Source organism: Homo sapiens, chromosome 21 (genome assembly GCF_000001405.40).
Source record: "Homo sapiens chromosome 21, GRCh38.p14 Primary Assembly".
Classification (NCBI taxonomy): Eukaryota; Metazoa; Chordata; class Mammalia; order Primates; family Hominidae; genus Homo; species Homo sapiens.
This window is the reverse complement of record NC_000021.9, coordinates 36,992,547-37,020,402: the sequence shown is the minus strand read 5'-3', so window position 1 is coordinate 37,020,402 and position 27,856 is coordinate 36,992,547. Positions and strand designations below refer to the sequence as shown.

The following is a 27,856-nucleotide window of genomic DNA, read 5'->3' as shown; positions in this document are numbered from 1 at the left end:
GCCTAGTATGGTGGCTCATTCCTGTAGTTCCAGTGCTTTAGGAGGCCTAGGTAAGACGATAGCTTGAGGCCAGGAGTTCAAGAGCAGCCTTGGCAATGTATTGAGAACCTGTATCTACAAAAAAAAAATTTTTTTTAATTAACTGGGTGGCTGGGCATGGTGGTTCATGCCTGTAATCCCAGCACCTTGGGAGGCCGAGGTGGGTGGATCACCTGAGGTCAGGAGTTTGAGACCAGCCTGGCCAACATGGTAAAACCCCATCTCTACTAAAAATACAAAATTAGCCAGGCTTGGTGGCACGTGCCGGTAATCCCAGCTACTCAGGAGGCCAAGGTAGGAGAATCGACTGAACCTGTGAGGCAGAGGTTGCAGTGAGCCGAGATTGTGCCATTGCACTCCAGCCTGGGTGACAAGAGCGAAACTCCGTCTCAAAAAACATTGCTGGGCATGGTGGCTCACGCCTGTTGTCCTACCTACTGCGAAGGCTGAGGTGGGAGGATTCCTTGAGCCCAGGAGTTCAAGGCTGCAGTGAGCTATTATTGAGCCACTGCACTCCAGCCAGGGACGGAGCAAGACCCTGTGTCTAAAATTTTAAAAAATAAAACAGAATACTGAAATAAAATAATAGGTTATAATTTTAAAAGAATTATTTTTAAAAACCATGAAAAATGAAAAAACCTTAAAGCAGAAACTATTTAATTCTAAAAATGTCTTAAGCAAAAAAGGGTGATTATCAAACATTCTTTCAAAATATTTATTTCAAGTAGAAATTGATATAATGTACTATATACAGGAAGACACCACATGTAAGATAAGTAAGTCAAAAAGTTTCAGGAATACACGTTTATCAAAATATTAAAAACTCAAAATAATTTTACATCAGATACTTTAATTAAAAATAGTGTTCATGGGTTAAGGGTAGGGTTAAAAAAATAAAAAATTAAAAAAGTAGTGTTCATCTATTAAAATACCAGGCCCCAAACAGTCACCAACTAAGAAGAGAGACGGTTCTACTCCCTATAAATTCATACACACAGGCCTCCTTATACAGTCATCACATACATTTTTATCTAATTGTCTCCTAAAAATCCCTATCTTTCTGTTACTCTTTTCTTTCTTTTTTTTTTTTTTTTTTTTTGAGACGGAGTTTCGCTCTTGTTGCCCAGGCTGGAATGCAATGGTGCGATCTCGACTCACGGCAACCTCCGCCTCCCGGGTTCTAGCCATTCTCCTGCCTCAGCCTCCCGAGTAGCTGGGATTACAGGCATGAGCCATCACGCCTGGCTAATTTTGTATTTTTAGTAGAGACAGAGTTTCTCCACGTTGGTCAGGCTGGTCCTTTTTGTTACTCTTATGGGAATTATTCGGCGGGTTAAAAAAATTTTTTTTTAATAAATACATTTTTTTTTGGCCGGGCTCAGTGGCTCACGCCTGTAATCCCAGCACTTTGGGAGGCCAAGGCGGGTGGATCACCTGAGGTCAGGAGTTCAAAGCCAGCCTGACCAACATGGTGAAACCGAGTCTCTACTAAAAATACAAAAAATTAGCCAGGCGTGGTAGCTCATGCCTGTAATCCCAGCTACTTGGGAGGCTGAGACAGGAGAATCACTTGAACCCAAGAAGTGGAGGTTGCAGTGAGCCGAGATTGTGTCACTGCACTCCAGCCTGGGAGACAAGAGCAAAACTCCGTCACAAAACCAAACCAAACCTTTTTTTCTTTTTTTTCCAAAATGCTACTAAGCAACTACATCTACCCTTGGATGATAGATTAAAATTGGAGTTTAATATCTGAATTATTTTTACAAAAGCAGAAATAGCTAAATAATGAGTCTCAGGTTAAGTAGGAGGTGGAGTGGGCGACTATCTAGGAAGAATTCATCACCTGATCAGTGAGTGACAATGCAGAAGGAGCTTTGAAAACTGGCTCTATGAGATAACAACTCTGTTGACATAGACCTTCTCTTTCTCCTAGAATCCTTTCTCAAAGGCATGCATGAGTGCACCAAAAACGAATTGCCAGGGGAAAGAAAAGTAAAAGCTGACTTTCTGTCATGAGTAGTGTGCAGGCCAGGGGCTGCCCGAGAAGCCTCTAGCCTCTGCACACTCAGCAGGGATGCGTAGTGTCCTGGCTCGGGTGTCCCCAAGAGAACGTGAGGGGCAGGTCCCAGAGCAGGGCCCAGGAGACAGAGACTGATTCATTTGGATGAGGAGCACTTGCCACCCCTTGAGGAGACACCTTGAGGGAGCGGACCCTCCCCCCAGTGGTCACCCCCTCCTGAGGATCGCTGCCCTTGGTTGATGCCCTGGTCTCTGCCCTTTCCCCCTGGGCCATTTTCCTGCCGACCTCCCACCTCCTGGGGCAGAAGATGGAGGGGTGGGGGTCCTTCCTCTGGCTCTTCAGCTTCGGAAGCAGACTCAGTAGACTCATCGTCGTAGAAGTCAATCGTGGCTTGCACTGGGAAACTGGCCAGTACTTGCTCCCCGGAACTCCGCAGGTATTCTTGACGCTTTGACATGGGTAAATAGACTCTAATATTTAAGAAACAAATATACCATTAATCAACCTGAACCTCGTCCTAAATTGCTTCTAGAGGGTGCTTTTTCCCAGAAGCAGAGAACTCCCCAGTCTTCCTTTCTGGTCTTTGCCTTCACAACACACAGAATTTAAGTCATCAGAACAGAGAACTCTAGGCACCTATTGGAGGCACCTGGTGATAAACCTACCCCGGTTCAGAAGTGAGTTATAAATCTGACTGAGCCAGTCAATTCAGACAGTCGCAAGGAAGAGGGTGTGCTTCAAGGAAGGTAAAAGGCAACTGAAAACACTGAGTTCCAAGATTAGGAGGCTCACTCTGATCAAATAGCGGACTTGACTCTTCTTGGATAATTGATGTCCCATTTAGGTGAAGCCCCACTCTCCCACCCCACCCTCTGTCCCCTGCAGCATGGGAAATGCTGTAACCCCTTGGGTTCTGGAGGAAATTTACTCTGACATCTCTGAAACCCTGGTCTAGAGAAGCAGCTAATTTTTCCAGATGTTGCCATAAAGAAATTGGAGGCACAAGTCCTTTGCTCTGCCAGAATAAAAAAGATGTGCTTAGGAAAAAAGGAAATAGAAAGAAAAAAGAAAGTGCTTAAGTATGTAAAATTTGGAACCCCTAAATTCCAGGTTTTATAAGATTTTGGATTTGCTCATACATGGCAAGTATTAAGATACCCCCTCCCTGTAATCTTTTTTTTTTTTTTTTTTGAAAGGGAGTCTTACTCTCTCACCCAGGCTGGAGTGCAGTGGCGCAATCTCAGCTCACTGCAACTTCTGCCTTCTGAGTTCAGTGATTCTCCTGTCTCAGCCTCCCAAATAGCTGAGATTACAGGCACCCACCACCATGCCTGGCTAATTTTTGTATTTAGTAGAGACGGAGTTTCACCATGTTGGTCAGGCTGGTCTCGAACTCCTGACCTCAAATGATTCGCCCAGCTCGGCCTCCAACAGTGCTGCGATTATAGGCATGAGCCACCACTCCCGGCCATAATCTCTTATCCTTCACTTACTTTCTTTCTTTTTTGTTTTTGAGAAAGGGTCTCATTCTGCCACCCAGGCTGGAGCACAGTGAGGCAATCATAGCTTACTGCAGCCTTGAAATCCTGGGCTCAAGCATCTCCCACCTGAACCTCCTGAGTAGCTGAGACTACTGGTGCATGCCACCACATCCAGCTAATTCTTTATATTTTTCATAGAGACAGGGTTTCGCCATATTGCCCAGGCTGGTCTGCAACTCCTGAGCTCAAGTGATCCTCCTGCCTTGGCCTCCCAAAGTGTGAGATTACAGGTATGAGCCACCATGCCTCGACCTGCTTTTCATTCATTAACTTATTTGCATTTTTCTCTGTGGTCTTCTGAAGAAGTGAGTTTGTCAATTGATCACTGCTTATTTGCAAAGCTGATTTCAATATCCTTTTTTTTCAGATAGAAGAGAAAAGGGAGAGAGAAAACACCCTTCTATAAATAATGGATGATAGTTTTTTACTTCATAAGATATCCAATAGACCAATGGTTCTCGACCTCGAGGGGACATTTGGCAATGTCTGGAGACATTTTTGGTTGTCACAATGGAGGGTAAGCTACTGACATTTAGTGAGTAGAGGCCAGGAATACTGGTAAACACCCTACGAGGCCCAGGATAGTTCCCACCGTGAAGAATTATCCAGCCCAAAGTGCCAATAGTGCTGAGGTTGAGGAATTCTGCAGCAGACAGAATGTGTATGTTCATCTAAGACAGAAATATGAGCATAGTTCCATTTTTAGCCATGTTTACAATTAGGTATTTATGCTGAAGTATTCACAGGTGAATTCCTAGCATGTCTGAGATTGGCTTTAGAATATGCTGGGGTGGGACACAGTGGCTCATGTCTGTAATCTCAGCACTTTGGGAAGCCAAAGCAAGAGGATCACTTGAGCCCAGGAGTTTGAGACCAGCCTGAGCAACATGGCAAAACCCCATATCTGAAAAAAAAAAAAAAAAAAAATTAGCTGGGTGTGGTGGTTTGTACCTGTAGTCCCAGCTACTCCAGAGGCCGAGATGGAAGCCTGGGGAGGTGGAGGCTGCAGTGAGCTGGGATGACACCACTGCACTCCAGCCTGGGCAACAGAGCAAGACCCTATCTCAAAATAAAATAAATAAATAAAATAAAATATGCTAACAACAACAACAACATAGTTGCGGGTGATAAATATGATGAGCTCAGAACATTGATAACTATTGAGGCCGGTGATGGGTACATGGGGTTCACTGTACTATTCACTCCACTTTTGTGTATGTCTGAAATTTTCTGTAATAAAAATATAAAGTGAAATTGTATATCCAGTGTGCAGTGCATGGCTGCAGCTCATGCTTTGTCAGTCACAGCATTTTCAACTAATCAAAAACAGAATGGCCGGGTGCGGTGGCTGTGATCACAGCCTGTGATCACAGCACTTTGGAAGGCCAAGGCGGGTGGATTACCTGACATCAGGAGTTCAAGACCAGCCTGGCCAACATGGTGAAACCCCACCTCTATTAAAAATACAAAAATTAGCCAGGCATGGCAGCACGCACCTGTAATTCCAGCTACTTGGGAGGCTGAGGCAGGAGAATTGCTTGAATATGGGAGGTGGAGTTGCAGTTGAGCCGAGATCGTGCCACTGCACTCCAGCCTGAGTGACAGAGCAGGACTCCATCTCAAAAAACAAAAACAAAAACAAAAACAAAACAAAAAACAGATGCATGGGTCTTTCCCTAGAGCAAGCGAATCCGAGTGCCTGGGAGAACCACCCAGGCATCTGTATTTTTAAAAGCTCCACTAGTAATTCTATGAGGATTGAAAACCATTGGTGTGGCCAGTAGCAATGGCTCATGCCTGTAATCCCAACGCTTTGGGAGGCCGAGGGAAGAGGATAGCTTGAGCCCAGGAATTCAAGACCAGTCTGGGCAATATAGTGAGACCTTGTCTCTACAAAAAAATTACAAAATTAGCAGAGCATGGTGGCACATACCTGTGGTCCCAGCCACTTAGGAGGGTGAAGTGGGAGGATCATTTAAGCTCAGGAGGCAGGGGTTGCAGTGAGCTGAGATTGTGCCACTGCACTCCAAGCTGGGTGACAGAGTGAGATGTCAGAAGAGAAAAGAAAACTATTGGTGTAAGGCATACAAGGGAAGCTTCCTTCTGACCAGTCTGAGGAGACTGAGCTTTATGCCTACACATGAGTGTCTTTGGGTTGTATTAAGCTTTCCAGTCTTCTTGGGTAACCAGGGCAAAGGCACCTGGTGGAGGCGGCCCAGGCAAGGTTAATTTTGGTAAAGGAGATCGAGCGAGACAGACAGAGAAAAAGAGAGAGACAGAGACAGAGAGACAGGCAGAAATCCTGAACGTGAGCCACTTGTCTAAAATGGACAGAGTGTAGATGGATACAGCAGTGAGAATCCTGGTCACCACCAGGACCATGACACACACTTAGGAGGTGGGAGGAAAAGGCTCTCTCAAAGGTGCACGGCACCCACTGTGCTGGAGACAACCATTTACTCAACACATAGATTTTTTTTTTTGGAGACAGAGTTTCGCTCTTGTCGCCCAGGCTGGAGTACAGTGGCGTGATCTCGGCTCACTGCAACCTCCACCTCCCAGATTCAAGCGATTCTCCTGCCTCAGCCTCCCAAGTAGCCGGGATTACAGGTGCCCACCACCATGCCCAGCTAATTTTTTGTATTTTTAGTAGAGACGGGGGTTTCACCATGTTGGTCAGGCTGGTCTCGAACTCCTGACCTCAGGTGATCCACCTGCCTCAGCCTCCCAAAGTGCTGGGATTACAGGCATGAGCCACCATGTCCACCCTCAACACATAGATTTTGAAGGTCGACTTTGCACTAGACAATATACTAGCTTATATCCTGGTAGAACAATAGAAATATACCTCAATATATAAGTTTTTGTATATGCATATACAATTCACATGCAATTATATAAATATAATACAAGGCACAATTTGTAATGAGAAGTAGAAATAACAGGTATAAAGAAAAGAGAGAGGCCAATTGCACTTTGTAGAAAACACTGAATGAATGAATACATGAATGGATTCCAGAAATCCAACAAAATCTCCTTGGTATAAGGAAACTAAACAATACCAAAGAATACATTGAATTATTTTCCACTTTGTTGACAATCTATGTGGTTGAAGACACTAAAGCATATTAATGCCTATATTAAAAGGAAATTACAGATTACTTATTGTGAAGTCGTATATTACCTTACAGGATGCTGAAACCCAAAGGCTCCCTTTGATCCAAAAGTGTGTTGGTCAGCCCTAGGTTCAAGCTGTAACGACAGACACATACAAACACAGAGACAGTGCAGGAGTGTCGGAAGGTGACATCCTGAGGTTTTAAACCACAGAACGTAAGTCATCTGCAGTTGGTCATATCAATACCAATTTTAGAGAGTTTAGACACCTTATCAGTATTCGATAAGCCCGTGTTCCTGTTACCGCGGCCCAAAATGTCCCAGGCACTGTGAAGAATTCAGATGGAAGGAGTTGGACACAGTGCCTCAGTCCAGCATTTTACAATCTAATGGACAGAGACGCACATGTATGCTAATAACCAGCTACAAAGCATCACACGGTAAGATACCCATGATTCTAAGCATGAAGGAAGGTCAGGAACGGGTTCATGAAGGGCCTCGCAGAGACATCTGTGGCATGTGGGTTTGCAATTCTAAGACTATTTTGGCAGAGGAGAGCATCAAATTCAGAGTGGCAGTACCGGGAGTGGTAGCTCATGCCTGTAATACCAGCATTTTGGGAGATTGAGGCGGGTGGAATCTGAAAATTTAGCTAGGCATGGGCGTGGTGGCGCATGCCTGTAATCCCAGCTACTTGGGAGGCTGAGGCACAAGAATCACTTGAACCTGGGAGGTGGAGGTTACAGTGAGCCAAGATCCTGCCACTGCACTCCAGCCTGGACGACAGAGCGACACTCCGTCTCAAAAAAAAAAAAAAAAAAATCAGAGTGGCAGGAAAACAGGGGGTGCAAGTGGGGAGCCATGAGGAGCCTTGTGTGGAACAAGTGAGACCCTGTGATGGGCAAAGGGCTCAAACGGTGACATATGCCTGGAATACCCACTGTTGAGTTTAGGTTTGACTCTGGATACAGGAACTGGAGATGGATTTTTGAGTCAGGGAGTCCAACTATCAGATCTGTATTTCAAGGAGAGCAGCGGCCGCAGGGAGCTGTGCACAGATGAGGCTGGTATAGAAAGGGCTTGGAGGAACCAGTCTTGAAAATTGATGGTAAAGAGCTTCTGGATGAGGGCAGGATGTGAACTCAGGCTGGGCACGGTGGCTCACTCCTGTAATGGCAGCACTTTGGGAGGCCCAAGTGGGCAGATCACTTGAGGTGAGGAGTTCAAGACCAGCCTGGCCAACACAGTGAAACCCAGTCTCTACTAACAATACCAAAAAATTTAGCTGGGCGTGGTGGCATGTGCCTGTAGTCCCAACTACTCGGGAGGCTGAGGCAGGAGAATCGCCTGAACCCGGGAAGCGGAGGTTGCAGTGAGCTGAGATTGCACCACTGCACTCCAGCCTGGCAACAGAGCGAGACTCCGTCTCAAAAATAATAATAATAATAATAATAATAATAATAATAATAATAAATAAGGAGCGGAAATGGTCTGGGGCAGTGCATCAGAAACCCCAAATCTTCAGATTCCAAAGTTCAATTGGAACCAGATGAGAAACAGGACAAAACTTACTATGGCCTGACAAGGAAGGACTTTGACACCGTGAATCTCCACGCCATTCCATCCTGCACGGACGCTGGGGCGGGTGGCGGAGGGAATGTGCACATGATATATATGAGCAAATTCGCCTGTAAGGAGCCTCTGCAGACATTACATTTTCCCTGCCATTTTTTTTTTTTTTTTTTTTTTTTTTTTTGAGACGGAGTCTTACTCTGCTCACCCAGGCTGGAGTGCAGTGGTGCGATCTCGGCTCACTGAGATTCTCCTGCCTCAGCCTCCCGAGTAGCTGGGACTACAGGCGCATGCCACCACGCCCGGCTAATTTTTTGTATTTTTAGTAGAGATGGGGTTTCACCGTGTTTCGATCTCCTGATCTCATGATCCGCCCGCCTCGGCCTCCCAAAGTGCTGGGATTACAGGCGTGAGACATCGCGCCCGGCCCCAGCCATATTTTCATAATTCACTGTGATGAGCTAAGAAAGTGATGAGGCTCTTTGAAACCAAATCTTTTCCATAAAGTTGTTCACTCTTTGGGGGATACAGGAAGCTGCTTCTTTGTTAAGCTCTGTTCGTGATTATAAAACACTCCTATTTCCTCAGGCCCTACTTTATGGCCACAAGCAATCTTGCCCTGCTAACGGCTATTTGGCGCCCTGCGATCAGACAGGGCCTAACTCGGCAGTGGCAGGTGTCAGAGAAAGAATAACTTCTGTAAATCGTCCAGTTCTAACTGGACCCTGTTAAAACATTCAGCACACCTTTATCCACTTTAAAAACCTTACCCCACAAACATATGCAGCTTTAAAAGTTTTATGCCAGGCAGGGCGCAGTGGCTCACGCCCGTAATTACCAGCACTGTGGGAGGCGGAGGCAGGAGCATCACGATCTGAGGTCAGGAGTTCGAGACCAGCCTGGCCAACATAGTGAAACCCCCGTCCCTACTACAAATACAAAAATTAGCCGGGCGTGGTGGCGCACGCTTGTAATCCCAGCTACTTGGAGGCTGAGGCAGGCGAATCGCTTGAACCTGGGAGGCAGAGGCTGCAGTGAGCTGAGATTGCAGTGAGCTGAGACTGCACCATTGCACTCCAGCCTGGGCGACAAGAGCGAAACTCCGCCTCAAAAAAAAAAAATGCCATAAATATCCTGATTGTTTTCCAAAAGGATCCTTTGTCTGCTGAGGGAAATGTCTAAATATTCACATTTTATAATGAAACACGAGAACAGAAATGTGCACAACGCAAGCACTGCGTTTAACATATGTGCGAGTGTGTTTTCCTATGAGCCTGAGGACTGACAGGTGCAGAGAGGCTTTCAGTGGGGGTCAGCCTTCTCCTCCCCGTTCGAGTCTCTGACCGGGCTAGGGCTAAGAAGTGGGAGCCTGGCAGATAGGGCAGGCCCAGAAGAACAAACAGTCCCTGATGTTTTCCAGGAAACTGCCTCCCTGACAGTGCCCGCAAGTGGCCAGGAGGGAAACGCAACAGAGATCAAGAAAGGTGCAGGTAGGGGAGGGAGATAGCTCCCTAAGTGTTGTAGGGGCATGAAGTGGGTGAGGGTGACCGTGCTGCTCAGAGTACAGGGCCTTGAGGCCTTCCCTCTGCTTGAGGGTTTTTTGGGTTTTATTTTTGTTTTTGAGACAGGGTCTCATTCTGTCTCCCACGCTGGAATGCAGTGTCCCGATCTCAGCTCACTGCAACCTCTGCCTCCCAGGTTCAAGCGATCCTCCTGCTTCAGCATCCCGAGTAGCTAGGATTACAGGCGCACACCACCACTGCCTGGCTAACTTTTGTATTTTTAGTAGAGACAGGGTTTCACCATGTTCGTGAGGTCAGTCTCGAACTCCTGACCTCAGATGATCCGACCGCCTCGGCCTCCCAAAGTGCTGAGATTACAGGGTGAGCCACGCGCCCGGCCTACTTGAGGTTTTATTCTAGTTTTGCTTTGCTTGCCGGGAGCCCTGGTACAGGTCACCAGGCGTTAGTCCTCTTCACCGCCACTCCAGCCAATGGCATTTTTGAGAAATACAGAAGAGGGCTTGGGAGCTGGGGAATTGTCCTGCTTTGTCGGGCGAGGGCGCTGTTGAGCAAGAAGCGTTCCTTCCCTGCGCTGGGCAGCTCTCGTCGGTGGACTGCAGGGAACCCAGGGCGGTGCACAGTACCAGAGCACAGACTGGCGCTGGTCGCTCTGCGCAACCAGCTGGGCTCTGCAAAGAGCGGGCTCCGGGCTAGGGGTGAGGATTGGCGGGCTCTACAGCCCCCAGGGAACAACCACTCTTCCCACACCCACATCCGTGGACAGAACTACTTCAGCGTGACAGGCTACCTGCTGATCAGCGAGAAAGTTAACGTTTAACATTTCTCTGCAAGTAAATTTTTCTCACAAACGGCCTTATCAAAACAGAAAACAAAACCCAAAACCATCTGTCTTACTTAGGGAGCGTGCTATCGTATTTTTATTCCTGCAAGAAACTGATAGGCTCCACATCCATTTCATTTAAAAGAAAACTGGATAATTGTAAACATCTATATTCTCACACAAGCACCTTTAAATTTTATGTTTAAGAACTAAGTTTGAATGCAAAAGAAGGGATTTTACATTATTTAGATATATGTATAAATAATCGGGGACTAAAAATCATCTCTTGTTAATTGATTTATCTTTTATCTGCTTCCTTCTTTGAAGTAAATTAAAATTCCCAATATTCAGATTAATTTAATAAAGTCGTGTAAATATCAAAATACGGTGAAGGTCTGTTTTCCCACAATCAAGTTTTCTTACCATATTACAAATAACTGCACGTTAGTCCATATAACACGTGTTACGTAAATTCAATACATGGTCTTTCCCAGCCTAATTCTTCAGTGTTTTAAGAGTCATCAAAAAAAAAAAAATTAAGTAAAAGTCATCAATTTATATTTTAAAATGTAACAAAGGAAAGGTAAATTCTATGAAAGCAAGTCATTACATCAGTAAGTATAAAGCAACTGAGTTACCAATGCAGAGTAACAAAAGAATGGTGGAGGTCATTAATCTTGCCCACAAAGCCCTCTGCTTGAGTGTATTTGCTCAGACAACATGAGATACCCCAGGAGTGCTTGACGGGGCTGAAAGTGCTTCAGAAAGGGCCAGACGCGGGGTGGGGGCTTTTAACGGCAACTCTGGGCACCTCAGATGGGGCTCAGTCCTATTTGCTCTGTGGCACCGGCCCAACGCTAATGGTGCTCTAAGCTTTTCTCCAAGGCAAGCGATAGTGGCAGCCTCTCCCCTCCCCTCCCGACCTGTTGCTTTGCAGAAGAAACCGCAACAGGGAGGACATTCCTTATAATTCCCATGAAACGACTACGGTTTTTTTTTTTTTTTTTTTTTTTTGAGATGAGTCTTGCTCTGTCGCCCACACTGGAGTGCAGTGGCATGATCTCGGCTCCCTGCAACCTCCGCCTCCCGGGTTCAAGCGATTCTCCTGCCTCGGCCTCCTAAGTAGCTGGGATTACAGGCGCCTGCCACCATGCCCAGCTAATTTTTATATTTTTAGTAGAGACGGGGTTTCGCCATCTTGGCCAGGCTGGTCACGAACTCCTGACTTCAGGTGATCCACCCGTCTCGGCCTCCCAAAGTGCTGAGATTACAGGCCCGAGCCACCGCGCCCAGCCTACGATTATGCTTTTATAGTGGGTATGCTTTTTTAGGAAGGAGAAGCCACCAGGAGCCCAATCTATAATGCGAGTCAGGTCTGATTAACACCTTACTCATTCAGGTTCCAACTCCCAGACCCCGAGGCGCTCCTGGGTTAGACGCCCAAGGGACGGCCCTGCGCAGAAGGCCATTCACGGTCCCTGTATTTTAAAAGACGATGCCACTTTCTGGCTGGAAGGGTTACCTACAACGCCCGCACTGAACCTTACCGGCCTTCCAGTTCTGGTCAGCTCAGCATCTCCAGGTGTCTGGATCCAAGGTCGCCACGGCGCGGGGCTGGAACGGCAAGCGCCAGGAGAGAGTGAACCCTGGGCACTTCTGCTGCCTTCAAACTATGCCATGAGAGCTATTCTTAGTTCCAGTGTCTGCCTGAAAAAGAGGCACCGGACCCCCCAGGAACTTTCCCTGGAGTTCTCAGGGCTGTGGATAAATTACTGTCATTTGTGTTTTTTCTCTCCTGCTACGTCCCCAGTTCTCTGTCTCCAGTTAAGCTTTGAGAAGGGAGGTCCCGAATCTCACACAATTATCAGGGAACCCATTAGTTGAGAGATTTCTCTCCCTGCAAATCCTGGCTGAATTGTTCAATTCGGGGTTCCCCAACTATAGCTGTCTACTTTGTCCCCGGTTAATTTCAATCACACCACCTTGGTCACGGAAGGAGATTGATTCTACAGAGATGATTTTACAGAGTTGTAGGATGAAAAACAAACAAACAAAAAAAGGGGGCTGGGCGCGGTGGCTCACACCTGTAATCCCAGCACTTTGGGAGGCTGAGGTTACTGGATCACTCGAGGTCAGGAGTTCGAGACCAGCCTGGCCAACATGGCGAAACCCAGTCTCTACTAAAAATACAAAAATTAGCCGGGCGTGGTGGCAGGCGCGTGTAATCCCTGCTACTCAGGAGGCTGAGGCAGGAAAATCGCTTGAACCCGGGAGGCGGAGGTTCCCGTGAGCCGAGATCACGCCATTGCACTCCAGCCTGGGCGACACAGTGAGACCCTGTCTCAAAAAAAAAAAAAAAAAAAAAAAAAAGAGGGAATCTTTCTCCTGCCTGGCTACCTGGCCCATCCGGCCTACCCGGTCCCTTCCCTACCTCCCTGGCTAATTTGATTTCCTACAACGTTACTGTCTTTAAAAGGGTTGGTGCCCAGGGACAGCGAACGCCGAGCCCCCAATCCAGGGACAACAGAAACGGCTACCGAGAAAGTAGCAAGGTGAGAGATTGCCTTTGCAAGGCTGGCTTAGGAGCCCGAGACTGCAGTGTCCCCGGCTGGCTAACTGAGATCTCCTCTACACGGAAGCGTCGGCCCCTTTCCTGGCCAGCTACATCCTGGGCCTCCGCACTTCAGAGCTGTGCGTTGGAACCGGAGAACTGAGCGCCCCTCCCGGGAACCCGGCTGCCGGCTCAGGAGCTTGCTTGGCGTCGCCGTCGAGCTCCGGAGCTCCGCTGGGGATCGGGGGTTCAGCAGCGCCCCAGCCTCCCGCTCGCTGCGCTCCCCGCACCGCCACCGCGCACGCCTCTCAGCGCGTCCACCGGGGCGCGGGGCCACCCTCACCTCTCCGGCCCGCGCGGTGGCGGAGGCCTCCAGGGAGCGTCCCCGGGGCAGTGACAGCCGCGCCCCCGCGCCTTCCGGGCTCCGGCCGCCGCTTCGGGCTCCATGGTGCCGGCGGAGCCCGCGCCCCTTGCTGCGGCGCCGGCCTACGAGCGCGCCTAGATCCACTCGGGCTAACGCGCTCACCTACCCGCGCGCCAGGTTTAAAAACGGGGGCGGGGCGGCGCGGGCAAGCGCTGGGAGGGGGCAGGACCCGAGGAGCTCCGTGAGGGGTGCGGAGGGGGCCGCAGGGTACGAAGGAAAAGCCCGGGTCGGAGGAGCGGAGGGGACCAGAGAAGTTCCGGGAGGGGACCAGGGAGCCGGGGATGGGGAGGAGACGAGAAAAGCTCAAGGAGGTGGCGCCGGGTGTCAAGGAGGGGGGTCCGGCAGGCCCGGGCAAGGGTGGGGACGGGACAAAGAAAAGTCGGGGAGGGGGCACCAGAGAAGGGGTGACCAGAGGATGGAGGTACCAGGGATTGGGGCCACGAGCTCGGGCTGGAGACAGCGGGAAGTGACCCAGGAACCCGGGAGAGGAAAGCGAGGCCCGCGGGCTAGGGGCGTTTCCGTCGGGCGCACTCCCTCGGGGACTGGGGGGACCTGCGCTCACCTGCTGGGCTTCCCCTGCCGGATGTGGGATGTGAGGAGTCCCGGCTTCTCCGTCCCTCTGTGGTCCCCGCGGCCTCGGGCTTTGGTCCTGTGCGAGCATCGGATTCCCTGGGTTTCCGGAGAATCTCGCTTCCACCGCCTTAGAGCGGCAGCGGGTCTTCGGGGACATCTACCGAATCCTCGGGTCCGCGTGCACCGGCCTTGCCTTCGGTGCTGGACAGTGGGCTCCCGGACGCCCCGACGCCAGGGCTCGAACCCGTGGCGAAGCGGGTGGGGTGGGGCGCGGCGACCCTTCCAGGAGACAGAAGGCCAGGAATGGAACCGAGCAAGAGGGGTGCTACGAGCGCACCCTTCCCACCGATGGCGGCCTTGGAAAGAATGCGAATTTTTAATAAAGCCTGGAGCGGCGGGCTTCTCCTTCGGTTAGCCCCAGCCAGGCTTAGAAAGGGCCTCCCGACCAGCAGAAGCGACCTTGCCCGACCCTGGGGACACTTCCCCGGGCGTCGCTGGAGCGCCGCTGCCACCATCACCAGCGCACGGCCAGGGTGGGAGAAAGCGGTTTCACACGTAGAGCACTGCGACAGAACACCGAAGGCGCTGGAGGGCCTTCAACTACCCCGGGCTCCTCAGGGGTAGTTACTTTATATAATTTAAGTTACTGTGATGGATGTTAAAAAATCGAAGAACTAGGCCAGGCGCGGTGGTTCTCACCTGTAATCCCAGCACTTTGGGAGACCGAGGCAGGTGGATGGATCACTTGAAGTCAGGAGTTCGAGATCAGTCTGGCCAATATGGTGAAACCCGTCTCTACTAAAAATAAAAAAATTAGCCGGGCGTGGTGGCAGGCTCCTGTAATCCCAGCTACTTGGGAGGCTGAGGCAGGAGAATGGCTTGAATCTGGGAGGCGGAGGTTGCAGTGAGCCGAGAGTGTGCCACTGCACTCCAGCGTGGGAGACAGAGAGAGATTCCCTTTCCAAAAAAAAAAAAAAAAATCGAAGAACTTCCGCAAGGCGCGGTGGTTCATGCCTGTAATCCCAGCACTTTGGGAGGCCCAGGCGGGTGGATCACTTGAGGTCGGGAGTTTGAGACCAGCCTGGCCAACATGATGAAACCCCGTATCCACTAAGAAAAATACAAAAAAATAGCCGGGTGTGGTGGCGGGTGCCTGTAATCCCAGCTACTTGGGAGGCTGAGGCAGGAGAATCGCTTGAACTCGGGAGGCAGAAGTTGCAGTGAGCCGAGATCGCGCCAGTGCACTCTAGCCTGGGCAACAAGAGCCAGACTCTGTCTCAAAAAAAAAAAAAAAAAAAAAATCGAAGAACTTCAGACATTAAAGTGTTTTCACATTTTTTTAATTAAGATTTTGAGCAACAATAATTAAATCTAAATAAAGGCAAACATTTAAGAGGGGGGAATTAATGGGAGGAGGCTAGAAGGAGGCAAAGAACATTAGTGGGCCATATTGCAACAATAAGGTACCATATTTAATCTAAATGCAGAATGGGGTTTTACAAGAACACTGGGCAGGGCGCGGTGGCTCAATCCTGTAATCTGCACACTTTGGGAAGCAGAGGCAGGCAGATCACTTGAGGTCAAGAGTTCCAGACCAGCCTGGCCGGAGTGGTGAAACCCCGTCTCTACAAAAATACAAAAATTAACCAGGCGTGGTGGAGTGGGCCTGTGGTCCCAGCTACTCAGGAGGCTGAGGTGGGAGGATTACCTGAGCTCGAGGAAGTTGAGGCTGCAGTAAGACATGATCACACCACTGCAGCCCAGCCTGGGCCACAGAGTGAGACGCTGTTATTTTTCTCAAATATATATATATATAATTTTTTAAAAAAAGAAAAGAAAATGAAAGAACACTGGGCAACTGGGTGCAGAAGGGGTGTTTTCGTTGTGTTTTTTGTTTGTTTGTTTTTTGAGACAGAGTCTTGCCCTGTTGCCCAGGTTGGAGTGCAGTGGCATGATCACGGCTCACTGCAGCCTCAACCTTCCAGGCTCAAATGATCCTCCCACCTCAGCCTCCCAAGTAGCTAGGACTACAGGTGTACACCACCACGCCTGGCTAGGTGTGGATGTTTTTAAATGAGTGTCTTCTAGGTAGCTGGTGGCAATGCAATGAAAAAGTTTGATAAGGTGTATTGTGTGCCATAAAAATGTTCACCCAGGCCGGGTGTGGTGACACATGTTTGTGGTCCCAGCTACCCAGGAGGCTGAGGTGGGAGGACTGTTTGAACCCAGGAGTTGCAGGCTGCAGTGAGCCATGATCATGCCACTGCACTCCATGTTGGGCCACAGAGCAAGACCCTAAGACCCTGTCTCAAAAAAAGCACAACAAAAATGAAAGTTCACCTTTTGTCCCAGTAATTCTACTTGTGTCTATACTGTAGATGTATTCTGAAATGGGAATGAAGATGTATTTAATCAGAGAGCGCTGCTTACACTGTTGAAAAACTATGTCCAAAAATATGGCAATGATTAAACAAATGACGGTAGAATAGTATGCAGTTAATAAAAATATGTTTACAGAGTTTTGGACAGCATAGGAAAAACATGACCATGTGGAAAGAACAAAACTGTATGCATAGGATGTGAACTATATATTCAAAGGCTACAAATAAAACAGAAGTGCCTGCTGAGTGCTGACATTACCAAAGATTTGGAGGGGCTTTAAAACTTGTTTTCTAAATTTTCAACAATGAATATATTACTTTTTATTGTGGCAAAAGGTACATAACATAAAATTTACCATTTTAACCATTTTCAAATGTACAATTCAGTGGCAATAAATCCACTCACATTGTTGTGCAACCGGCCCCCCATCTCCAGAACTTTTTCATCATCCCAAACCAAACTCTGTACCCGTGAAACAGTAACTCCTCATTCCCCACCCCCTGCCATTGGTAACCACCATTCCGCTTTCTGTATCTATGCATTTGACCATTCCAGGCACCTCACAGAGGTAGAATCATTTGGTCTTTTCTGGAGCATACATTAATTTATAATCCTCCCTCTAACCCTGCAAATCAGGCATTATCCTCAGTTTACAGATTAAGAAACTGGACTTCCCAGAGGTTAAGTAACTGGTACAGAGAAGCAGGACTCGAGTTCCTGTCAGATACCTGGGCTGTAGAAAGTGAATGCCACGGCCAGGCGCGGTGGCTCACCCCTGTAATCCCAGCAGTTTGGAAGGCCAAGGCGGGTGGGTCATGAGGTCAGGAGTTCAAGACCAGCCTGGCCAACACAGTGAAACCCCGTCTCTAATAAAAATACAAAAATTACCCGGGAGTAGTGGCACACGCCTGTAGTCCCACCTACTCGGAGGGCTGAGGCAGGAGGATCGCTTGAACCCGGAAGGCAGAGGTTGCAGTGAGCTGAGACCGCACCATTGCCCTCTAGCCTGGACTGCACAATGAGACTCTGTCTCAAAAAAAAAAAAAAAAGAAAAGAAAAGAAAAAAAAGAAAGTGAGCGCCACTAAAAATAAATTTGAAGGGCTGGGCATGGTAGCTCACGTCTGGAATCCCAGCACTTTGCGAGGCCGAGGCAGGTGGATCACATTAGGTCAGGAGTTTGAGACCAGCCAGGCCAACATGGTGAAACCCTGTCAGTACTTAAAAAAAAAAAAATACAAAAAATTAGCCAGGCGTGGTGGTGTGCACCTGTAATCCTAGCTACTCCGGAGGCTGAGGCAGGAGAATCGCTCGAACCCGGGAGGTGGAAGTTGCAGTAAGCCAAGATTGCATCACTATACACCAGCCCAAATGACAGAGTGAGACTCTGTCTCAAAAAATAAATATAAAATAAAATAAAAATAAATTTAAAGAGCAAAAAGACCAAACTCAGCACCTGCAGGCAGTAGACAGTCTATTTTCTCTCTCTTTTTTTTTTCCTTCGGCCAAGTACAATATAAGACCACCATGGCCAAAGCTGGGACAATTTGAGCAACAAAATAAAGTAATATTTGTTTATAACTCGAGGTATAAAATAAATACTCTTGAGCTTATATTGATATCAGTAAATATTGAATAATTGAAAATATGGGGAGAATAGACAAATTTCCTTAGTAGAAGAATTCCAAATAATTTATGTGGATAATCTGTCCTCGGGGAGGTAGAATGTAGCTACATAAACCATAATTAAAATCCATAATTATGCGTGTTTTTGTTGAAAATGTGTTTAATGAAAAATAAATTTACTGGTAATGTAAAATGAGAGTTTTTTGTTTGTTTGTTTTTTAGTTTTTCTTTTGCAGGTGCAGGAATTAAAATACAGTGAACAAAATAAATTGCCATTGAGGTAGTTGGGAATTCAAAGACCTTTTGTGTTACCAAGTATTTTAAACTATTTCTTAAACTTTGTTTGAGTCCATGGGAGGTCTTTATAATAGAGGAAGTAATTTGGGGAAGGGGTAGAAATCTTAAGAAACTTAATTAGGCCCCTGGCTTATAAACTGGGAAAAATTGCTGAACTTCAAGTGTGTGAAACCCTCTCTGCCCGGGAGTTAAATAAAATGGAGATTCTATTTCTTCTCCTGCTGTCTTTAATTAAAAATTCTTTTTCATATGCTGACTCTCCACTGTTGCCTGGAAACAAAAAGTAAAGATGTCAGCCCTGAAGGTTTCCGGCCTGCCTAGGAAGAGGATCCCAAAACTCAGAACATCTAAGAGGTCAGAATATTTTTACATAAACAGTGCTGAAGACAAGCAGGGAAATGATAATTTCCTTTTCTTCTGTTTAGTTAGACCGTATTTCCTGTTATCTGCTCCTAAGTGTTCTGCAACTCTGAAAGCTGTTTTAGAAGCTACAAGAGGTTGTTACTGCTTTTGATGTTGTTATTTTCTAAAATATTTAAGACCAAAAAAGGATATTTGTATATTTGTTCCATGGGAATAAGAGATATATTTGTTTGGGGTGTTTTTTTTTTAAGTTTTTTGTTTGTTTGTTTTGTTTTGTTTGAGATGGAGTGTCATTCTGTCACACCGGCTGGAGTGCAGTGGCGCAATCTCGGCTCATGGCAACCTCTGCCTCCCGGGTTCAAGCAATTCTCATGCCTCAGCCTCCTGAGTAGCTGGGATTACAGGGGTGTGCCACCACACCCAGCTAATTTTTGTATTTTTAGTAGAAACGGGGTCTCATCATGTTGTTTAGACTGGTCTCAAACTCCTGACCTCAAGAGATCTGCCCGCCTCGGCCTCCCAAAATGCTGGGACTACAGGTGTGAACCACCATGTCCAGCCAAAAGTTATTTATTTTTATTTTTTACAATTGTGGTAAAATACACGTAACATGGAATCTAGCATCTTTACCATTTGAGGTGCACAGTTTAGCAGCATTAGGTACACTCATGCTGCTGTGCTCCCATCACCACCATCTACCCAGAGAACTCTTCATCTTGCAAAGCTGAAACTCTTCAACAGTAACTTCCCACTTCCCCCTTTGCCAGGCCCTGGCAGCCACCATTCTTTCTGTCCTCGTGAGTTTGAGAATTATAGGTACCTCATATAAGTGGAATCTGTGAGTATTTGCCTTTCTTGGCGGATTTATTGCACTCAGCATAATACCCATAAGGTTCATCCATATTGTAGTATAGCTTAGAATTTCTTTCCTTTTTCAGGCTGAGTAATATTCCCTTGTGTGCAGAGACCACATTTTGTTTATCCATTCATCCTCAGTAGATGGACACTTGAGTTGCTTCCACCTTCTGGCTGTTGTGAATAATGCACTATGAACACCATTCCTTCAAGCACCTGCTGTCAGTTCTTTTGGATATATTCTCAGAAATAGAATTGTTAGGTGAAATATACCTGTTTTTGAATCCTTATGTTAAGGCCCACGTTAGCTTTCGGGAAAAAAAAAAGGCCAGGCGCGGTGGCTCACGCCTGTAATTCCAGCACTTTGGGAGGCTGAGGCAGGAGGATCACCTAAGGTCGGGAGTTTGAGACCAGCCTGACCAACATGGAGAAACCCTGTCTCTACTAAAAATACAAAATTAGCCAGGCATGGTGGCGCATACCTGTAATCTCAGCTACTTGGGAGGCTGAGGCAGGAGAATCGCTTGAACCCGGGAGGCGGAGGTTGCGGTGAGCCAAGATCACGCCATTGCACTCTAGCCTGGGCAACAAGAGCAAGATTCCGTCTCAAGAAAAAGAAAAAAGAAAATAAAAGAAAAAAGTTAATTAGCTGGGCATGGTGGTGCACGCCTGTAATCCCAGCTACTTGGGAGGCTGAGGCAGGAGAATCATTTGAACCCGGGAGACGGAGGCTCTGATGAGCCAAGATTGCACCATTGCACTCTAACCTGGGCAACAAGAGTAAAACTCAAACTCAAAAAGAAAAAAAAAAAAGAAGAAGAAGAAGAAGCGTTTCTGCATGACTGCAGACATCCCTAGCTTAACCATGCCATGACTGATGTCTGGAAGCTGGAACCATCTATAGCCCTGGCTTTACCTTCCCTACCCCACTCCCCACAGACCCCCTTCCCTCTGGACTGTTTCTGGCCTGGGAGCCTCCCAGGCACATTCATGTCTCAGGGCCTCTGCCTGCAACACTGTCCTTCCAGACGTCTGCATGGCCTGCCACCTCACCTCCTTCAGGTCTGACTCCGATCTCCTCCGGGGATGACGCCTTCTCTGGACACCTGTTTAAAGCCTCTCTCTCCTTCACACTCACAAAGACACGTGTACCGTGGCATTCCCTAGCCTCCTTCCCTGCTTCAGTTTTCTCCATTACATTTAACATAACCATATTTTTCATATATCTATCACCTTAACTCATTTAACCTACTATTTCTTTTAAGACAGGGTCTCGCTCTGTCACCCAGGCTGGAATGCAGTGGTGCAATCAGGGCTCACTGCAGCCTCAACCTCCTGGGCTCAAGCGATCCTCCTGCCTCAGCCTCCCGAGCAACTGGGACTACAGGTGTACACCACCACACCTGGCTAATTTTTGAATTTTTTTGTAGAGAAGTGGTTTTGCCACATTACCCAGGCTGGCCTGGAATTCCTAAGCTTTAGCAGTTCACCCACCTAAGCCTCCCAAAGTGCTGGGAGCACAGGCGTGAGCCACTGTGCCTGTCCTACTGTCTCTTACCTATTTGTTTTACTTGTTGTCTGCCTTTCCTAGGAGTGTGTCAGTTCCATGAGGGCAGGGGTTTCCTCTGTTTCAGTCACTGCTCAGCTAGCTTCAGAAGAAAATGAAGAAGTACTATGGAGTCGTCCAATTTAATTATGTACTTTGAGCTAACACCCACCATGAGAAAACACGGAAAGCAGAAAGTTTTATCCACAGGTGGCACGTGGTAGGTAGCAGAATCTCACCTCAGGCTGTCCCTGTAGTACACAGGATGTGGCCCTCCTACAGTACATTAAGCAGTGGCCCCCAAAAATCTATGTCTAAGCCCTGCCCCCCAGAACCTGTGAATGTGACCTTACTTGGAAAAAGAGGCTTGGCAGATGCAATTAAATTAGAGACTCCTAGCCAGGCATGTTGGTACACAACTGTAGTCCCAGCTACTCGGGAGGCTGAGGTGGAAGGATCACTTGAGCCCAGGGGTTGGAGGCTGCAGTAAGCTATGATCGCACCACTGCACTCTAGCTTGGGAGATAAAGCAAGACCCTGTCTCTAAAATAACAACAATAAGAAGCAGAAGGAGGAGAAGGAAGAGGAGGAGGAGAAGGAGGAGAAGGAGGTGGTAGCAGGGATCTTGAGAGGAGATCATTCTGGATTTAGGGTGTACTATGGATTGGATATTTGTCCTCTCCCAAACTGTTGTTGAAATTTAATTTTCAATGTAATGGTATTGGGAGGTGGGGCCTTTAACAGGTGATTAGGCCATGAGAGTTCTGCCCTCATGGATGGGTTTAATGCCCTTAAAAAAAAGGCTGTCAGGAGTGGGTTCTCACTCTTATACCCTTTTGCTTTGTAAGGAACAGCGTTCCTCCCCGTATTCAAGGCACCATCTTGGAAGCAGAGACCAGGCCCTCACCAGACACCAATCCTACCAGTGCCTTGACCTTGGGCTTCCTAGCCTCTAGAATTGTATGAAATCCATTTCCTTTTTTTTTTTTTTTATCATTACCTAGTCTCTGGCATTGTATTACAGCAGCACAAAACAGACTAACACAGGGTGGAACCTAAATCCAATGACAGGCGTCCTCATAAGAAAAAGGCGGAAGGAGATTGGAAACACAGAGACACACGGAGAAGACAGCCATGAGAAGACAGACACAGAGACTGGAGTGAAGCCTCTAGGAGCCAAGGAACACAAGGTCTGCTGGCAACATCAGATGCAAGGAGAGGGAGAGGGGCATGGGACTGATTCTCCCCGAGAGCCTCTTCAAGGAAACAACGCTGCAGGCACCTGGGTTTCAGACTTCAGGCCCCAGAGCTGTGAGACAAGACACTGCTGTTGTTGTAAACCGCCCAGTGTGTGGTCATTTTTTTTTGAGCCGTAGTTTCACTCTGTTGCCCAGACTGGTGTGCAGTGCTGTGGTCTCAGCTCACTGCAACCTCCATCTCCTGGTTCAAGCTATTCTCCTGCCTCAGCCTCCTGAGTAGCTGGGACTACAGGTGCGCACCACCACACCTGGCTATTTTTGTCTTTTCAGTAGAGACGGGGTTTCACCATGTTGCACAGGCTGGTCTCAAACTCCTGGCCTCAAGTGATCCATCCACCTCGGCCTCCCAAAGTGCTGGGATTACAGGTGTGAGCCACCGCGCCTGGCCTGGTCCCTGAGTTTGTCAATGTAATGAGATTCACTCTTCTAGTTGTTTCTATAGGAAAACAGAAGAAACTCCTATTCGTTACATATTGCCTGGGCACATACAGTGCCATGTGGGAAAAAAAAATGGACAAAGCAAATCAGGAAAGCCAGACCTACAGATCTCAGAGCTAGAAGAGAACTTCAGTCTCATTCCTGGTTCATCTTTTCATTTTGCAGACAAGATAATGGAAGCTGAGGCGGAGACATGTCCACTGCATTAATAATAGCTACTGTAGTAACTATAACTTTAACATTTATTGAGCATGTACTGTGTGCCAGGACTGTGGTTTGTGGATTTTAATTTACTCAGTCCTGACAATAAGCATGTAAGAGAGAAAGTAGGTTATCCATATTTTGAGGAGAGGAAACCAAGTCATAGAGAAGCTCAATCATTACTTCAAAGTCACCCCGAAGATCAGGAGTGTGATGTGAAGCCAGCCAGGCTTGCTGCAGAGTCTGGGACTTAGCAGGTGTGCTCCACAGAAGACCAGACTCGTTCTGTGAGCTGTCAGGATTGATCTCCCATCACAGGTACACTGGCTTTCTGGGGGAAAGACATGAAAGATAAATTGTAGATGGCCAACCAACCTATTAATAAGCTGAGCAGCAGAGGCCATGGAGAAGATCACAAACACATGGTTAAAAAGTCATCCAGGCTGGGTGCGGTGGCTCACGCCTGTAATCCCAGCACTTTGGGAGGCTGAGGTGGGTGGATCATGAGGTCAGGAGATTGACAACATCCTGGCCAACATGGTGAAACCCTGTCTCTACTAAAAATATAAAAATTAGCCAGGCGTGGTGGTGCACACCTGTAATCCCAGCTACTCAGGAGGCTGAGGCAGAATTGCTTGAACCCGGGAGGCAGAGGTTGCAGTGAGCCAAGATTGCACCACTGCACTACTCCAGCCTGACAGAGCGAGACTCCATCTCAAAAAAACAAAACAAAACAAAACAAAAAAACAGTCATCTTCTGTCATCTCTCAATTCATAGAGAATGGGCTGCGAGCAAGATGTGGAACTCATTTTTTTCTTTTTCTCTCTTTTTTTTTTTTTTTTGAGACAGGGTCTCGCTCTGTCACCCAGGCTAGAGTGCAGTGGTGTCATCATGGCTTACTGCAGCCTCGACCTCCTTGGCTCGAGAGATCCTCCCACCTCAGCCTCCCAAGTAGTTGAGACTACAGGTATGTACCACCATGCCTACTTTTTAAATTTTCTGTAGAGATGGAGTCTCACTATAATGCCTGAGTTGGTCTCAAACTCCCGGACTCAATTGATCCTCCCGCCTCAGCTTCCCAAAGTCCTGGGATTACAGGCATGAGCCACCATGCTCCCGGCCTGGAACTGAAAGACCAATCCTGAATGAAAACTAGTCAGGCTGTGGGTCACACTGAAACTTAGCTTCTGTTCTGATGGGTTGGAATTCAGACCCATCCAGTTTCCTCTGCCTCTCTGGGTTCTTATAGTGTACCTATAGAAAACACTATCTATATTTTGCTCTGCGGCTACAGAAGCATGAAGAATGTGAGGAAGTAAAAGCATTGGTATCCTGGGCATCTATGGCTCCTAGAAATGTACAGGAATTCTTTTCTAACGTTTGAAATAAAGATGAGTAAATATGCCTAGCCCACTGCCCATTTTCTGTGAGTAAATAACTTTGTTCACTTCTAGCCATGGCCTATTTCACCCTTGGCTGTGTACTGATAGAACAATGTCCAGTACATAATAGACAATAAGTGCATTTTATATTCTTTATTTTATTTTATCTTTTTTATGTATTTTATTTTATTTTTCAAGACAGAGTCTTGCTCTGTCGCCCAGACTGGAGTGCAGTGGCGTGATTTCTGCTCACTGCAACCTCCGCCTCCCGGGTTCAAGCGATTCTCATGCCTCAACCTCCTGAGTAGCTGGGATTACATGTGTGCATCACCACACTGGCTAATTTTTGTAATTTTAGTAGAGACGGGGTTTTACCGTATTGCCCAGGCTGGTCTCAAACTCCTGCTCTCAAGAGATCCACCCGCCGTGGCCCCCAAAGTGCTGGGATTACAGACGTGAGCCACTCCACCCGGCCGAAATACAGTTATATTATTTTCTTATCAGCCTCCCTGCCTTTTACACAAAAGGGAGGTTACTGTATTCCAGATATTTCTATTTCTCTATTAGTATACAAACAGGTCCCTTACTCTTTTTCTTTCTTGCTTCCTCCCAATTTTTTTTTTTTCGAACAATGTTTGAGTTTCATTCACACGAAACACGGAAGCCATCTGTGAGGCTCTGTCCCAGAGAGAAGGGGCCTTCCCTCATGCCTGTTACTCGAATGTGGATAAACACAAGCACAAATCAAATAAAATGCAAATTACTCTGTGTCTTTTCCTAGTCAATACAGCAACGGTCCTCAGCGGTACTGTACCATTCTGGAAAAATATGCTGCCTTCCCATCTCCTAAGGCAGCAGCAAATTCTTCCTGTCGCCTCCTATTGGCCAAGGCAGCCAAAGATTTAAAAGTCTCTGGTTCGTAGATGGCCAGATTCGCTGGGACTTTCTTGTGGCGCTTCACCTGGCACTTAATTAAATTGCCAGTGAACGCTGGGTACTTCGGGCCGTGTTCCTGGGTAGCAGCTGTAATTCGATTAATCCAGAGGGTCCTCATGGTCCTCTTCTTCAGGTTTCCGGCTTTGGTGCATTTCACAAAGGCTCCAGTCCCGGCTCTGACCGCCAACCTGTAGCAGCAATTTCCCCCGCACCCCGCTCCCCCGCCGGAAGTGCTTGGCGTGCTTCAGCACCTCCCGAATCCGCCAGTAGCGGTAGGTGACGCGATTTCGCAGCGGTGAAGAAGACCAAGACGCCCGCGGGCCAGCGTCCTGGATCCTCAACAACACACGCGCTGCGCTGCCGCCGTCTTGCTGGGCGTCGCTTCCTCCCAGTTTTTAAGAGCTGCACGGTTTTTTTGTTGGTTGGTTTGTTTCTGAGACGGAGTCTCGCTCTGTCGCCCAGGCTGGAGTGCAGTGGCGCTATCTCAGCTCACTGCAACCTCCGCTTCCCGGGTTCAAGCGATTCTCCTGCCTCAGCCTCCCACGTAGCTGGGATTACAGGCGCGCGCCACCAGCCTGGCCAGTTTTTTGTATTTTTAGTAGAGATGGGGGTTTCACCGTGTTGATCAGACTGGTCTCGAACCCCCGACCTCGTGATCCACCCACCTCGGCCTCCCAAAGTGCTGGGATTACAGGCATGAGCCACCATGCCCGGCCAAGCTGCACAGTCTTAATAGCGCATGGAGTACAAATACTTATTTGCCTTCCATACCTATTGGATATGTAGTGGTTTCCAACCTTCTGTTATTGCAAACAATGCCTCAGTGAATAACCTTGTACACACATACACCATTTTGCACACAGATGACCGTATCTGCAGGGCAAGTTCCCAGAAGGTATGCTGGAGTTTTTCACCACTGTGCTAGGTCCCTTTTGCTTTGGTACCACCTATGGGCCTAGGCCTCCTTACCAGGGGCCTGGTAAGCTCCCTTAGTCCCTTAAAGAGATTTAGTCCACAGGACAGTTGAGTAACTGGTACCTTGCATGCATAACTCACAGGACGTGAGAAACACAGCTTTATCTTCTACCATCTCTATCTGTATCCAGTAGAGAGTATCTTCACTTGCCCCGGATGAAAAAGCTAATAGGGCTGAATTGGACTCTCAGGGCCTCTGCAGCAAAGTACTACAAACGGGGTGCCTTAAAACAACAGAATTTTGTCTCGCAATTCTTGAGCCTAGAAGTTCAAAATTAAAGTGGCAGGAGGGCTGTGCTCCCTCTGAAACCTGTGGGGGATCCTTCCTCAAGTCTTCCTCGCTTCTTCCTTGCTTCGGTGGTTTGCAGCATTGGGCCAGCCTCTGCCTTTGTTGTCACGTGGCATTCTCCCAGTCCCTCTGTCGCCATATGTCCATATTATCACAAAGACACCAGGCATATTAGGTGAGTGTGACCTCATCTTAACTAATTACATCTGCAACGACCTTGTTTTCAAAGGAGGTCATATTCTCAGGTATGCGAGCATTTAGGACTTTAACATAGCTTTTTTAGGAGGATACAATTGAACTCATAACACAGACCCAAAACGTTTCTGCTCATGTTAGGTTGGGGACAATCTTAGAGTCACTTTATTGATTTGTTTGTTTGTTTGTTTTGAGATGCAGTCTTGCTCCATTGCCCAGGCTGGAGTGCAGTAGTGAGATCTTGGCTCACTGCAACCTCCACTTCCTGGGCTCAAGTGATTCTCCTGTCTCAGCCTCCTGAGTAGCTGGGATTACAGGCGCAAGCCGCCATGCCTGGCTAATTTTTGTATGTTTAGTAGAGACGGGGGTTCGCTATGTTGGCCAGGCTGGTCTCAATCTCCCGACCTCAGGTGATCTGCCCGCCTAAGCCTCCCAAAGGGCAGGGATTACAGGCGTGAGCCATTTGCGCCCGGCCAAGATCACTTTAAATCACAAACTTGTTCTCAATTCAGAAACTAGTACGTCCAGTCCCAGGTATTTATCAGTCCTTCAAGCTTCATTCCAAGGCCAGCCAGCTGTGGTCAGGGCTGGGGCTGCTGGTCTGCAGGAAGGGGAGTGGCTGAAGGTTTCTGCTCCCTCTGCTGACCCCCTTGGTGCCAGGGGAGGGGGAGTGGAGGTGGGAGAAGGATGGGACGGATTTGACTTGGCTAGGAAGCTCTGTATTCTCAGGGCCTGCTATGGCTATTCCTTTCTTCTCACCAGGATTTTTGGAATTTCTCTGGAAATTTCCACTCCGGATCTCCTAATTCCAGTGAATGTCACTCAATTTATACACTTTCTCCCTCTGCTGTTTAAAGAAGGTGGATCCTCAAAATTGAAGGGCTTTTAAATCTTTGTAATTGTTTTTCCTTTTATTTTCAGAGGGAGTCTTGC

The 27,856-nt window shown here is 47.7% G+C and overlaps 1 protein-coding gene and 1 pseudogene across 3 annotated transcripts, besides 3 other annotated features; both read right to left on the bottom strand.

Moving 5' to 3' along the window:
• Nucleotides 1-740: 740 nt before the first annotated feature.
• RIPPLY3 (ripply transcriptional repressor 3) lies at nucleotides 741-14,253 on the bottom strand. 3 transcript variants are annotated; one of them, NM_001317768.2, is made up of 4 exons: nucleotides 14,170-14,253; nucleotides 12,180-12,246; nucleotides 6,785-6,852; nucleotides 741-2,529 (listed from the first exon to the last, which is right to left on the bottom strand). In NM_001317768.2, exon 4 carries the CDS (start codon nucleotides 2,514-2,516, stop codon nucleotides 2,196-2,198), a length of 321 nt encoding a protein of 106 aa, NP_001304697.1. In that variant the 5' UTR covers nucleotides 2,517-2,529; nucleotides 6,785-6,852; nucleotides 12,180-12,246; nucleotides 14,170-14,253; the 3' UTR covers nucleotides 741-2,195. The 3 variants fall into 3 exon arrangements, with proteins under 3 accessions (NP_001304697.1, NP_061835.1, NP_001304706.1); NM_018962.3 differs by lacking the exon at nucleotides 14,170-14,253 and adding an exon at nucleotides 13,527-13,701; NM_001317777.1 differs by lacking the exon at nucleotides 6,785-6,852 and having other exon boundaries at nucleotides 744-2,529; nucleotides 14,170-14,201.
• Nucleotides 10,250-10,309: an enhancer, noted in NCBI's record as "active region_18442". NCBI's record gives its function as "activates an Ori minimal core promoter by ATAC-STARR-seq in GM12878 lymphoblastoid cells {active_cell/tissue: GM12878}" and the evidence as "EXISTENCE:reporter gene assay evidence [ECO:0000049][PMID:35858748]".
• Nucleotides 13,527-13,636: a silencer, noted in NCBI's record as "silent region_13295". NCBI's record gives its function as "represses an Ori minimal core promoter by ATAC-STARR-seq in GM12878 lymphoblastoid cells {active_cell/tissue: GM12878}" and the evidence as "EXISTENCE:reporter gene assay evidence [ECO:0000049][PMID:35858748]".
• Nucleotides 13,860-14,360: an enhancer, noted in NCBI's record as "H3K4me1 hESC enhancer chr21:38378343-38378843 (GRCh37/hg19 assembly coordinates)". NCBI's record gives its function as "activates a minimal SCP1, AML or CMV promoter by ChIP-STARR-seq in naive H9 embryonic stem cells {active_cell/tissue: H9 hESC(naive)}" and the evidence as "EXISTENCE:reporter gene assay evidence [ECO:0000049][PMID:30033119]".
• On the bottom strand, nucleotides 25,155-25,845 carry MRPL20P1 (mitochondrial ribosomal protein L20 pseudogene 1; annotated as a pseudogene).

What these genes read in the sequence shown, in the direction of transcription:
- RIPPLY3 (NM_018962.3), bottom strand. Translation starts at nt 13,630, where the DNA reads ATGGAGCCCGAAGCGGCGGCCGGAGCCCGGAAGGCGCGGGGGCGCGGC. An exon ending in CCACCGCGCGGGCCGGAGAG is followed by an intron (nt 12,247 to 13,526) that starts GTGAGGGTGGCC and finishes TTGCCGTTCCAG; the next exon opens with CCCCGCGCCGTGGCGACCTT. An exon ending in TGACCAGAACTGGAAGGCCG is followed by an intron (nt 6,853 to 12,179) that starts GTAAGGTTCAGT and finishes CTGTCGTTACAG; the next exon opens with CTTGAACCTAGGGCTGACCA.